This window comes from Homo sapiens, chromosome 1 (assembly GCF_000001405.40).
Source record: "Homo sapiens chromosome 1, GRCh38.p14 Primary Assembly".
NCBI lineage: Eukaryota > Metazoa > Chordata > Mammalia > Primates > Hominidae > Homo > Homo sapiens.
The window spans coordinates 157,650,890-157,663,857 of record NC_000001.11 but is presented as its reverse complement, the minus strand read 5'-3'; the positions used below and the strand labels follow the sequence as shown (position 1 = coordinate 157,663,857).

At 36.1% G+C, this 12,968-nt stretch overlaps 1 long non-coding RNA gene across 2 annotated transcripts; it reads left to right on the top strand.

The window, feature by feature from the left end:
• The first annotated feature begins 3,760 nt into the window (after window positions 1-3,760).
• Window positions 3,761-11,674, top strand: LOC105371457 (uncharacterized). Of its 2 annotated transcripts, XR_001738255.2 has the most exons (4): window positions 3,761-3,957; window positions 9,584-9,679; window positions 10,647-10,953; window positions 11,216-11,345. It is a non-coding gene; the product is annotated as an uncharacterized LOC105371457 (long non-coding RNA). The 2 variants fall into 2 exon arrangements; XR_922184.3 differs by having other exon boundaries at window positions 10,647-11,674.
• Window positions 11,675-12,968: the final 1,294 nt, after the last annotated feature.

Sequence of the window (12,968 nt, the reverse complement as noted above, 5' to 3'; positions counted from 1 at the left end):
GCACACCAATGGGCCTTGACTATCCAATTTGCCAGTCTGTGTCTTTTAACTGGGGCATTTGACCTATTTACATTTAAGGTTAATATTGTTATGTGTGAATTTGATCCTGTCATTATGATGCTAGCTGGTTATTTTGCCCATTATTTTGCACTTTCTTCATAGTGTCAATGGTCTTTACAATTTGATATGTTTTTGCTGTGGCTGGTACCGGTTTTTCCTTTCTGTACTTAGTGCTTCCTTCAGGAGCTCTTATAAGGCAGGCCTGGGGGTGACAAAATCTCTCAGCATTTGCTTGTCTGTAAAGGATTTTATTTCTCCTTCATTTATGAAGCTTAGTTTGACTGGATATGAAATTCTGGGTTGAAAATTCTTTTCTTTAAGAATGTTGAATATTGGCCCCCACTCTCTTCTATCTTGTAGGGTTTCTGCAGACAGATCTACTGTTAGTCTGATGGGCTTCCCTTTGTGGGTAACCCAATCTTTCTCTCTGGCTGCGCTTAACATTTTTTCCTTCATTTCAACCTTGGTGAATCTGACAATTATGTGTCTTGGGGTTGCTCTTCTCGAGGAGTATCTTACTGGTGTTCTCTGTATTTCCTGAATTTGAATGTTGGCCTGTCTTGCTAGATTGGGGAAGTTCCCCTGGATAAGAGTGTTTTCAAACTTGGTTCCATTCTCCCTGTCACTTTCAGTTACACCAATCAAATGTAGGTTTGGTGTTTTCATATAGTCCCATATTACTTGGAGGCTTCATTTGTTCCTTTTCATTCTTTTTTCTCTAATCTTGTCTTCATGCTTTATTTCATTAAGTTGATCTTCAATCTCTGATTGAATTTCTTTCTTCGGCTGGATCGATTCAGCTATTGATACTTGTGTATGCATCATGAAGTTCTCGTGCTGTGTTTTTCAGCTCCATCAGGTCATTTATGTTCTTCTCTAAACTGGTTATTTGAGTTAGCAATTCCCCTAACCTTTTTTCCAGGGTTCTTAGCTTCCTTTCATTGGGTTAGAACATGCTCCTTTAGCTCGGAGGAGTTTGTTATTACCCATCTTCTGAAGCCTACCTCTGTCAATTCGTCAAACTCATTTGCCATCTAGTTTTGTTCCCTTGGTGGTGAGGAGTTATGATCCTTTGGAGGAGAAGAGGCATTCTACTTTTTTGAATTTTCAGCTTTTTGCTCTGGTTTTTCCTCGTCTTCATGGATTGATCTATCTTTGATCTCTATCTCCGGTGTTGGTGACCTTAGGATGGGGTTTCGGTGTGGAAGTTCTTTCTGTTGATGTTGATGCTATTCCTTTTTATTTGTTAGTTTTCCTTCTAACAGTCAGACCCCTCTGTTGCAGGTCTGTTGGAGTTTGCTGGAGGTCCACTCCAGACCCTGTTTGCCTGGGTATCACCAGCAGAGGCTGCAGAAGAGCAACGATTGCTGCCTGTTTCTTCCTCTGGAAGCTTTGTTCCAGAGGAGCACCCACCAGATGAAAGCTGGAGCTCTCCTGTAGGAGGTGTCTGTTGACCCCTGCTGGGAGCTTTCTCCCAGTCAGGAGGCACAGGGGTCAGACTGCCATCTGAGGAGGCACTGTGCTGGGAGATCCACTGCTCTCTTCAGAGCCAGCAGGCAAGAACAAGTCTGCCAAAGCTGTGCCCACAGCCGCCCCTTCCCCCAGGTGCTCTGCCCCAGGGAGATGGGAGTTATATCTATAAGCCCTTGACTGGAAATACTGATGAATAAAATTGAAAAGGACACAAAAATGAAAAAAAAACTCATTATCAGTTGGAAGAATTGATACTATCAGAATGACAATACTACCCCCAAACAATTTATAGATTCAATGCAATCCCTATCAAAATACCAATGACATTCTTCACAGAAATTTTTAAAAGTCTTACAATTTATGTGGAACCATAAAAGACCCTAATTAGCTGAAGCAATTCTGAGAAAAAAGAACAAATCTGGAGGCATCACACTGTATAACTTTAAAATTTATGACAAAGCTATAGTAACCAAATCAGCATGGTACTGGCACAAGAATAGACACACAGACCAATGGAGTAGAACAGAAAATTCATTTATGAATCCACACATTTATAGCAAATTCATCTTCAACAAATGTGCTAAGAAGGACCACCTCTTTAATAAATGGTGCTGGGAAATTTGGTTAACTATAGTCAAAAGAATGAACCTTAGATCTAAATCTCTTACCATCCACAAACAAAAATAGATTAAAGGTTTAAATCTAAGACCTGAAACTGTGAAACTACTAGAAGAAAGCATTGGGAAAATGCTCCAGGACATTGGTCTAGGCAAAAATTTTCTGTGTAAAACCTCACAAGCACAATCAATCAAAGCAAGAAATAGACAAATGTTATTCCATCAAGCTAAGAAGCTTCTGCACAGCAAAGGAAACAATCAGCAAGCGAAGGAAGACACAACCTATAGAATAGGAGAAAATATTTGCAAACTACCAACCTGACAAGGGATTAATAAACCAGAGTTTATAAGGAGCTCAAAAAACTCAGTAGAAAAAAAACCCAGCAAATAATTTAATTAAAAAATGCACAAAAGACCTGAATAGACATTTCTCAAAAGAAGACATACAATGGCCAACAAATATATGAAAAATATGCTCAACATCACTAATCATCAGGAGAATGCAAATCAAAATTACAGTGAGGTATTATCTTACTCCAGATAAAATTGCTTTTATCAAAAAGACAGGAAATAACAGGTGCTGGCGATGATGTGGAGAAAGGGGAACCCTCATACACTTTTGGTGGGAATATAAATTAGGAAAGTCACAATGGAGAATAGTATGGAGATTCCTCAAAAAACTAAAAATAGAACTGCTCTACCATCCAGGAATCCTGCTACTGTGTATATCCAAAAGAAAGAAAATCAATATATTGAAGGGATACCGACACTCCCATGTTTATCACAGCATTATGAACAATAGAAAAGATATAGAATAAACCTAAGTACCCATCAACAAATGAATGGAGAAAATGTGGTACATATACACAATGGAATATTATACAGCCATAAGAAAGAATGAAATCCTGTCATTTGCAGCAACATGGATGGAAGTGGAGGTCATCATATCAAGCTAAATAAGCCAGGCACAGAAAAACAGTTATTGCATGTTCTCACTCATATGTGGGAGCCAAAAACTGGATTTCATGAAGAGAGAGTGGAATGATAGTTACCAGAGGCTTGGAAGGGAAGGGGAGAGAGAGGTATGAAGAGAAGTTGGTTAATGTGTGCAAAAATACAGTTAGCTAGAAAGAATAAATTCTAGTATTCAATAGCAAAGTGGGGAAATTTTAGTTAAATAATAAACTATATATTTAAAAATAAAATAATATATTGTACATTTTAAAATATCCAGAAGAAATATAATGTTTCCAACATGAAGCAAGATAAATGTTTGAGGTGATGGATATCCCAATCACACTTGTTTGATTATTACACAATGTATACATGTATCAAATATTACACATACCCCCAAAAATGTACAACTATGATGTATTAATTTAAAACACACAAAAAATTCCTTTGTCTGTTTTCTAGAAATATTATATTTTCACTTTTACACTTAAATCTATAATCCACATAAAGTGATTTTTTTCATGTTGCGTATAGTGAGAAAAAAAAGTTTGTTTGTTTTTCTTATAAGTACCCTGTTGTTCCAACACTATTTACTGAATAAACTTTATTTTGCCTCTTGTTAATTTGGGTTGTCTTCTTAGTATGTGGTTGCAGGAGTTATTTTTGGTGATGGTCAGTCTGGTCAACCACAAGGGAGACACAGAGGAGGCAAAGGAAAAAACAAGTTTCTTATACTCAAGGTCCTAGAGGGACAGAGTCACTGCATGCTGACAGGGAGTGATGTGGAAAAGAGCACCAAGGAAAAAGGCTCAGCCAAGCAAGTGGGGAGCAGAGAGCGGGCAAACACCAGAAGGTAAGTGCCTTTATTGGAACTCAGGTTGAGACACACAAGAAAAGGGATACACAAGAAAAATTTTACTGGTGTGTTGAAATGTTACTAGGTTATGGTCAGGAGAGGTTGGGAAAGGAAACTTGTGGCAGGGGCCAATCTTACCACACTGTTGCACCTGGTTGTCTGGGTAGGATGCTCTCAGCCTGTTTGTGGGTTGTTGAGGAAGCAAGAAAATATGAAGTTTTAAAATATACAATACAATATAACTTTGTCAGATAAATGCCTACCAAGTATTTTCTCCCATTTGGTGACTTGCCTTTACAGTTTCTTAACCGTAATTTGTAATTTCAAATTTTTTCGTTTAATGGAATTTATCATTTTTTTCTTGTAGTTCATGCCTTATGTGTCCTGTTTAGAACTATTTCTCTGACCAAATGTCATAAAGATTTTCTTATGAAATGTAATATTTTTAGCTCTTGTGTTTAGCTATGTAAGGCATCCTAAGTAAATTTTTATCACGGCATGAGGTCAGGGTTGATGTCATTTTTTCTCCCCTGCAAATATCCAATGATCTTAGCACTCTGTTTTGAAGATTACCTGTTTTTTGTTTTTCCTTTGAATTACCTTGTCATTGTTGTCAACAACCAATTACCTATATAAATGTGGGTGTACTTCTGTATTATTCTCTTCCATTTATGCTAAAGCAGGGAACCCACTTAGAGATGTTTCTTTCCCAGGCTGCAGTGCAATGGCGTAATCTTGGCTCACTGCAACCTCAGCATCCTGGGTTCAAGCGATTCTCCAGCCTCAGCCTCCCGAGTAGCTGGTATTACAGGCGTCCACCATCCTGCCTGGCTAATTTTTACATTTTTAGTAGAGACGGGGTTTCACCATGTTGGCTAGGCTGGTCTCAAACTCCTGACCGCCAGTGATCCACCAGCCTTGGCCTCCCAAAGTGCTGGGATTACAGGCGTGAGCCACCGCTCCCGGCCTATTTGTAGTTTTTTTGAAAAACCTTCATACTCTTTTCAATAGTGGATATACTAATTTATATTCTCACCAATAGTTCCTTTTTCTTTGCATCCTCACCAGCATTTGTTACTTTTTGTCCTTTTCATAACAGCCATTCTAACTGGAGTGACATGATGTCTCATTGTGGTTTTGGCTTGCATTTCTCTGATAATTAATGATGTTGAGAATTTTTTCATATGCTGGTTTGGTCATGTGCATGTCTTCTTTTGAGAAATGTGTATTCAGATTTTTGTCCATTTTTAAATCAGATTGTTTTTGTTTGGTTCATTTTTGCTGTTGAGTTGTTTGAGTTCCTTGTATATCCTGTATATTGATCATTTGACAGACGAATAGTTTGTCTCTTTATTCTGTTGAGTGTTTCCTTTGCTGTGCAGAAGCTTTTTAGTTTGATAAAATCCCATTTGCCTATTTTTGCTTTTGTGGCCTTTGTTTTTAATGCCTCATTCATAAAATTTTTGCCTGGACAAATGTCCTGAAGTATTTTCCCTTTGTTTTTTTTTTCCCAGTAGTTTTAGTTTCAGGTCTTACATTTAAGTCTTTAATCATTTTGAGTTGTTTATTGTATATGGTGAGAGATAGGTGTCTAGTTTCATTCTTCTGCATATAAGCATTAAAAGCTATCAGTTTTCCTCCTAATGCTCATTTAGCTGTGTCTCACAAATATTGTCCTCATTGATATGGTTAGATTTAGGCCTTCCATCTTATTATTTGTTTCTTGTTTTCCTCTGATTTTTATTTTTTTTTCTTTTCCCTTCCAGCATTCTTCTAGATTACTTGTACATATTTTAGTATTTCATTCAGTGCCAAATAGTTTCTAATACTCATTTTTTCTTCAACACATTGCTGTTTTAAAATATGTTGTTAATTCTCAAGTATTTGAGATTTTCCTGAATATCTTATTGGTACTGACTTATAATTTAATTACTTTGTGGTTGGAGAACATAATATTATTTCAGTCCTTTCAGATTTATCAGCACTTGTTTTATGGCCTGGCATATGGTCTCTCTTGGTGACATACATGTGCACTTGAAAATAATGTATATTCTACAGTTTCGGAATAGAGTGTTCTATAAATATCAATTAATTAAATCAAGAAAGTGGTGAGTGTTGTTCAAATTTTTTGTGCTTTTATCTCATTTTACCAACGGCTGAGAAAGCAATGTTAAAAATTTTTTACCATGATTGTAGAATTATTCTATTTCTGTTTTTATACCACAAATTTTTGCTTCATATATTTTGAGACCCTAGTAAGAAATGCACACACGTTAGTAATGTCTTCCTGAAATAGTCCCTTTTGTTAAAATAAAACACCTTATTTTTGTCTAATAATATTGTTTGTCTTAAAGTTTATTAATTCAGTAGTAATGTAACCTCTTCAGCTCTCTTATGTTTACTGTTTAAATAACATATCATTTTCCATCTTTTTTACTTTCAATCTGTTTGTGTTTTTATTTTTCAAGTGAGCTTCTTGTAAGCATCATATACTTTGGCCTTACTTTTTAAAATCTATTTAGATAATCTTTTCCTTCAGTTAAAATTCTTATACTATTCATAGTTAAGGTAATTATTAATATGGTTGAATTTAAAAAATTTTTATTTTCCATTTGCTCCACCATTTTTTGTTCATTTTTTCTCCTTTTTCTCTTTCGAATCATTTGAAATTTTAGTATTCCATCTTAATGTATCTGTTTTCTTTTTAGTAATACATCCTTGTATTGTTTTCAAAGGTTGATCTAGAGGTTACAATATACATTCTTAATCTTTCATGGCCTACTTAAAATTGATACTCTGCCTCTCCACTGAAAATGTAGAATCTTGAAATTGATAGGTATATATATGTCCACCCCTTCAATCATTTATAAGATGGTTGTCCTATCCTTTCATTTATATCCCATAAGTGTCCAATCATTTATAGGATGGATGTATAGGCATTATATCAATGTATGTTTTAAAAATCCCACGAAAAATTGTTATAATTTGTTAAGTACTTATATTTTAGATAACTTAAACAGAAAAATGCAGTCTTTTCTATTTTTCCCTAGATATTTACCACTTACAATGTCGTTAATTTTTTCTAATGATCCCCATTATTTCTAATTTCATTTCCCTTTAGCCTAAGGACTTCTTCTTTTTTTTTTTTTAGACAGAGTTTTGCTCTTGTCGCCCAGGCTGGAGTGCAGTGGTGCGATCTTGGCTCGCTGCAACCTCCACCTCCCGGATTCAAGCAATTCTCCTGCCTCAGCATCCCGAGTAGCTGGGATTACAGGCGCGAGCCACCATGCCCAGCAAATTTTTTATTTTTAGTAGAGACGCGGTTTCACTGTGTTGCCCAGGCTGGTCTCCGACAGGGACTTCTTTAGAATCTCTTGTAGTGTTTTCTGACAGTTAGTCTCTACATTTTGCTTTACTTATTTTTTGAAAAAAAAAAATTTGCATGCATTTTTGAAGGATATTTTTGCTCAATATAAAAACCAAGTTTGATAATTGTTGTCCCTTTCTTTAAAAATTTGTTTTTTCTCTGTCTACAATCAAGATTTGGTCTTTATCTTGGATATTTAGTAGTCTGGTTATGTTTTTGGTATGGTTTTCTTTGAATTTATCCTGTGTAGGGTTCATTGAACTTCTCAAACCTGTAAATGTATGTTTTTCACCAAATCTGAGGAGATTTCAGCTGCAATTTCTTTAAATATTATTTTATGTCCAATTTCTCTCCTTTTCTGCTGGGATTCCAAATATATGTATGTTACAGTTTTTGATAGACTTGATATTGTCCCACATGTCCCTAGTTTCTGTTTATTTTTTCAAACTTTCTTTCTATATTTTAGATGAATAATTTAATTGATATAGTTTTAATTTTATTGATTCTTTCCTTTGTCCTATTCATTCTACTGTAAGTCCATTTGGTAAATTTTTAAAATATGTTACAGACTTATTTCAAAAATTTCTATTTGGTTCTCTATTTATATATCTCAGCTGAGATTTCCTGCCTTTTTATTCATTTTATATATTTTTTAAAATCTCATTGAGTATAGTTATTGTGCCTACTAAAAAAATTCTCATCAAATAATTCCAACATCAGATGCATCTGAAGCTAGCATCTATTGATTGTCTTTATTCTGAAAAATTGAATTCATTTTCCTGCTTCTTTGTATGTTGAGTACTTTTCATTTTATCTTGGACATTTTAATGTTATGTTGTATAGATTCTGTGTTCTGTGACATCCAGCATGCTGTTTTTGTTTTTGTTTTTGTTTTTTGTCTTAGCAGGCATTTAACCCAGTTAGACTCAATGTGTAAGCTCTGCCTTTCCTTCCATAGGTGGTGGTTTAAATCTTAATTCAATTATTTAGTTCTTTGGTGTACTGCTTTTAGACAGTCCTGTGCTTATATGGCTCAGGTGTCAGCCTGAACTTGTGTATTTAACCACACAGAAAATTAAGGGACTTCCTTCTCTGGCTCTCTCCTCTATGGAATTCTCCCTCCACCTTCTAGTAACTGCGGTTAATCAGACTCCCTTTTTAGATCCTCTGGCCAGAAAGACAATGAGCTACCAAAAATCTTACCAACCTACAATATGCCTTCTCTGCTACAAAAAACAAATCCACAAATCAAATCTACAATAAAAATGGAAAACTAACTGCTATGCCAGTCACTTCTCCAAATTTCATTTCCCCACTACACCCTGGCTGCTCTTTTACTCTTCAGAATTCTCAGGTAGTCATTTTCTGTATTTTATGTAACATATAATTGTTACCAGTTGGATGGCTTGTCTGATTGTTACCAGTTAGATGGCTTGTCTGAAGGGAATTTACAATATTATTCCAGAAGTGAAATTCTAGCTTAACTATGAATGGACATATTTATACTCATTGGTCAGTAAGGTCTGCATTATTCAGGATGTATCTACATATGTGTGTATATGCATTTTACGTACTTGGACTGCAATTGTATTAAATGCTTATTTTACATATTTGAACACTTTTCATGCTTTAAAAATATTCTTCTAAGACGCGAGTTTAATAGCTTTATAATACTGCATCTATATACGTACCCTAATTTACCATTCTTCTGTATATTTTTGTTTTTTTGCTTTTGTAAAAACTTTGAGATGAAATCTTTTCCTCTCTTCCTCAGAATAAACTTTTATTGTGAAAAGTAGTATACGGAACTTTGCATCTCATAATCCAGAAAGTTTTTACATTGTATGGCACCAGCAGGAAATCATTTATGAGTTCCAACACTGGGTGCTGTACTTTCTTTATTGTTTTTGCAAAAATGATAACAGAAATTACATTTTATTGTTTAAATTTTAATTTACTTGACTATTAGTGAAGTAGAATATAATCTTATGTGTTTCAGGGAGTGTTCTTTTTTTAATCAATAGTCCATTTAGGATAAAAATTTTTCACATTTTCAACAAGTTAAGATACTCTTTTCCTAACAAATTATGTGAGTTTTTTAATGAACTAAGGATAGTAATCTTTAATTAATTATGTGTGATATAGATATCTATGGTATGTCTTTTGCCTTTTACTTTTGTTTATGGTATCTTTAACCTACCAAGGTTATTTAATAGATTATGAACATGTGCTAATTTACCAAGATATCTTGCTTAGCCATAGGTTAAGACATGAGGACTTCTACTGAAACTTCTCTAAATATGGAACCAAGACTTCATCTGAGTTTGAGATTAAGAGAAGAAATTATCACAGGTAATGTGGAGACAAGTCACTTCTCCAATTGTGTTCTCTAAAGTGTGGTGTTTTGATGGTCAAAACCTCATAAAATTAGGTCCAGGAGAGAAAGAATTAGAAATAGGAATTGCTAACAGAAAAAGACCATTTCAGAATCATGGACTGAGGGTTACCGTTCAAGAGAACTATAACCCTTGGGCCACCCAGTCTATAGAGCAGCTTCATTTTTTGCAAAAGTGAATATGGTGGCATATAGATTAAAGTATTAATTATTTTCTGTGCTACACACTTACAGGAGAAAACTCTTAATATCCAAGACAAAAACAGTGCCTTGCTGATGAATGAAGAGACATGTGTGTCAAAAATATAACTGACAAAAGGCCGGGCATGGTGGCTCACGCCTATAAACCCAGCACTTTGGGAAGCTGAGGCCAGTAGATTGCTTGAGCCCAGAATTTCAAGAGCAGCCTGGGCAACATGGCAAAACCCCAACTCTACTAAAAAATAAATAAATAAATAAATAAATAAATAAATAAATAAATAAGAATATAACTGACAATGTAGGAGCCTCTTACAGGTTCCCTTGATGCTTCAGTTTCCTCTGTTTACTCTGCTTTTTGTGGTAAAATCATATTTACAAATTCTTCTCTTCCTGACAATTATAAATTCTTATCTCTCCCTTCCTTGGATTCGTTGAGTGAACCTATCTACACAAACTACTCTTAAAATGGACCTTTACCCTCTTTCCTGTCCATGGGCAATTACTGTGATTATTCTTTAGCAGCTACTGTTTCTTCAGCCCTTCTGCTAGGATAGGGCTGCTTTACATACACCATGTGGAGTCAAAAAAGAACAGAGAGAAGTAGTCACAAAAAGAGGAAGTAGTGGTTAGTGGGTTCTTGAGAAAGTTCTCCAAAGGTTACAAACTGAAAAGATTGAAAAATTAACAGTTCTATGCTAATCTCTGGTGTCTCCTTTTTGGCAGCTCCATGAGGAAGAAAAAATAATCTGTGACTTCTGTACCTTCTTCATGACCACCGGGCAAGACTGACTCTCTGACCAGTGCACAGGAGACTCATCAATATCTATCTAAGCCCTTTCTCTCTAACAGCTGCCAGAGTTTGGTCTTCTATCATCTCAGGCCAAGGAAGCGCAGTGGTTACACTCATCTCCACTCCGGTCACCTGCTTTCCATTTTATGCGAGCAGGTCCTGCCTTACAAAATAAACGTATCTGCTGAGAAATGCCAATGAGGGAGACAGAAGAGATCTTCAAAGGGAAAGGCAGATTTTGTAAGTGGTTGTTGATGGACCAAATTCCATGTTATAAATCTTCTCAGGGTGCAGTAGTTGATATAACTCCATTGAGATGGACCCTGAAAACAAATATGCACAAAAGGAATTTTACAGATAAATCCGTGTTCCATGCCTAGAATAAAGTAATACCATTATAATCATTATCTGCTTTCAATATCCAACCCTGCCATTTAGTTTCAGCTTCAGGTCCACCGGATCCTTCAAATATTTCTTCATACAATCTCCTTTTGTCCCTCAGGACCTGTTGGAAAGAAAGGCGTCCAATGCTAATAAGGAAAAGAGAAGAGCCTTCCTCTCCATGCAGGTTTAAGTCTACTGAAAGTGGAAATTACTCTTTTATTTATAAATACTGATAGGACTCTTTTGGTAGCAGGGAACATGGACCCACTTATGCAACCTTAAGTAAAAACGGTAATTTATGGTAAAGGAAAATGGATAGCTGTCAGAATTCTAAGCAGGAAGGTCATAAACAAGCTGGAATCAGAAAGTGGGAGGTTGTTGGGATCCTTGGAACTACCTCGACCCTGCAATCAGACAGACTCCTCTACCTGCCCTCTGTGTCCTTGGACAAACTGCTCAACCTCCCTATGCGTCAGTTTCCTCATCTGTAAAATGGGAACAATGATATCCATCTTTTAAGATTTTTGTGAGGATTGAATGAATTAAACAAGTAAAGAGATTGGATCTAGGTCTGAAATTTGCTAGCCACTCAAATACTAGTTATTTCATTGGTTGTTTCATATTTTCTGCCCACGTATGTTGACTTCTATTTTGTTTCTTTTAAATAATTTGCCACTTTCTGAAATTGTCTAATTTACCTAATTGCTGACTTGTAGAGCATGGGTCTTCTCCTCTAGTATTTAAGGTTTATCACACCCTCAGTAGAGGGAAGGCAATGAGTGTTCTGCTACATGTCCTGTTTGCTGGAGCGGAGAACTTTCAGCCTGTTTCTGACCCAGTCCTCTGAGTACCTCTGCTCTGAAAGTTGTAACTGTCTCTCTTTCCCAGGGCTGTTTCTATCTCCTTAGCCAAAAAGCCAGACTTCCTAGCCCAAGGAGGGGAGCTCAGTGAACCTCAACTATAAGGCTGAATCAATCAGGATTAATGTAGTTTCAAGCCAGACTGAGTAGATGACCATTACTACTGCTACTACTTTAAGTTCTGCCCCCTTTGAAGGATTTCCTTCATCACTTTCTTTCAAGAACAATACTAATTGTGGTTGCAGTAATACAACAGTCCACTTCCAGTTTTGCTAACATATTTTACTAAATCATCTGTGAAGCAAGCCCTGGTTTTCCTTCTGTAGTTATCTAGTTAAAAGGAGTTCCACATGAGGCTATAGATGTGAACTGCAGGAGAGGAGGGAATGCAGTAAAAGTTGGTACCTTAGCAGTCTGAGCCACCTGCTCATACAACTTACTTATGCCTTGTTAAACCCAGTCATATATACATCATATATATATAGATGTATTGCTGCTGTGCATGTACAATCTTGTGGCTACATAAAACCCCACTCATGATGAGCAGTTCGAATTGCAGATTGCGTGGTCACTTGATGTCCCATGTTAAGTATTAAGTTTTTAGTAAGGTCTAGGCAAACTTGATGCTGTATCCTAAAAGAACATTATCTCCAGAAGAGAGTATAACTTTTATCTAAAATTCTAGAAGTCTGTGCTCTAATTTTCCTTTTCTGACCCTTAGAAGCACTATACAACATCCATATTTTCTATAGTCATTTCAGGCTACATCGGATCTACCACACCACAAGTCTCAAGTGGTCAAGCAGCTTTCAAGGCAATCTGGAATTATTGCAGAGCCTTCTCTTGCCCTGAGCCTCACTCAGAATTAATAGTGTTATGGGCTCCTCAGCAAATGGGTAAGAGTTGTGCACGTAAATGAGGATATATTGCATACAAATTCCAAAGATATCCACCAGGTATTGTGCCTCTTCTTTAGTAATAAGAAGGTGCAAGATGCAGCAATTTGTTTTA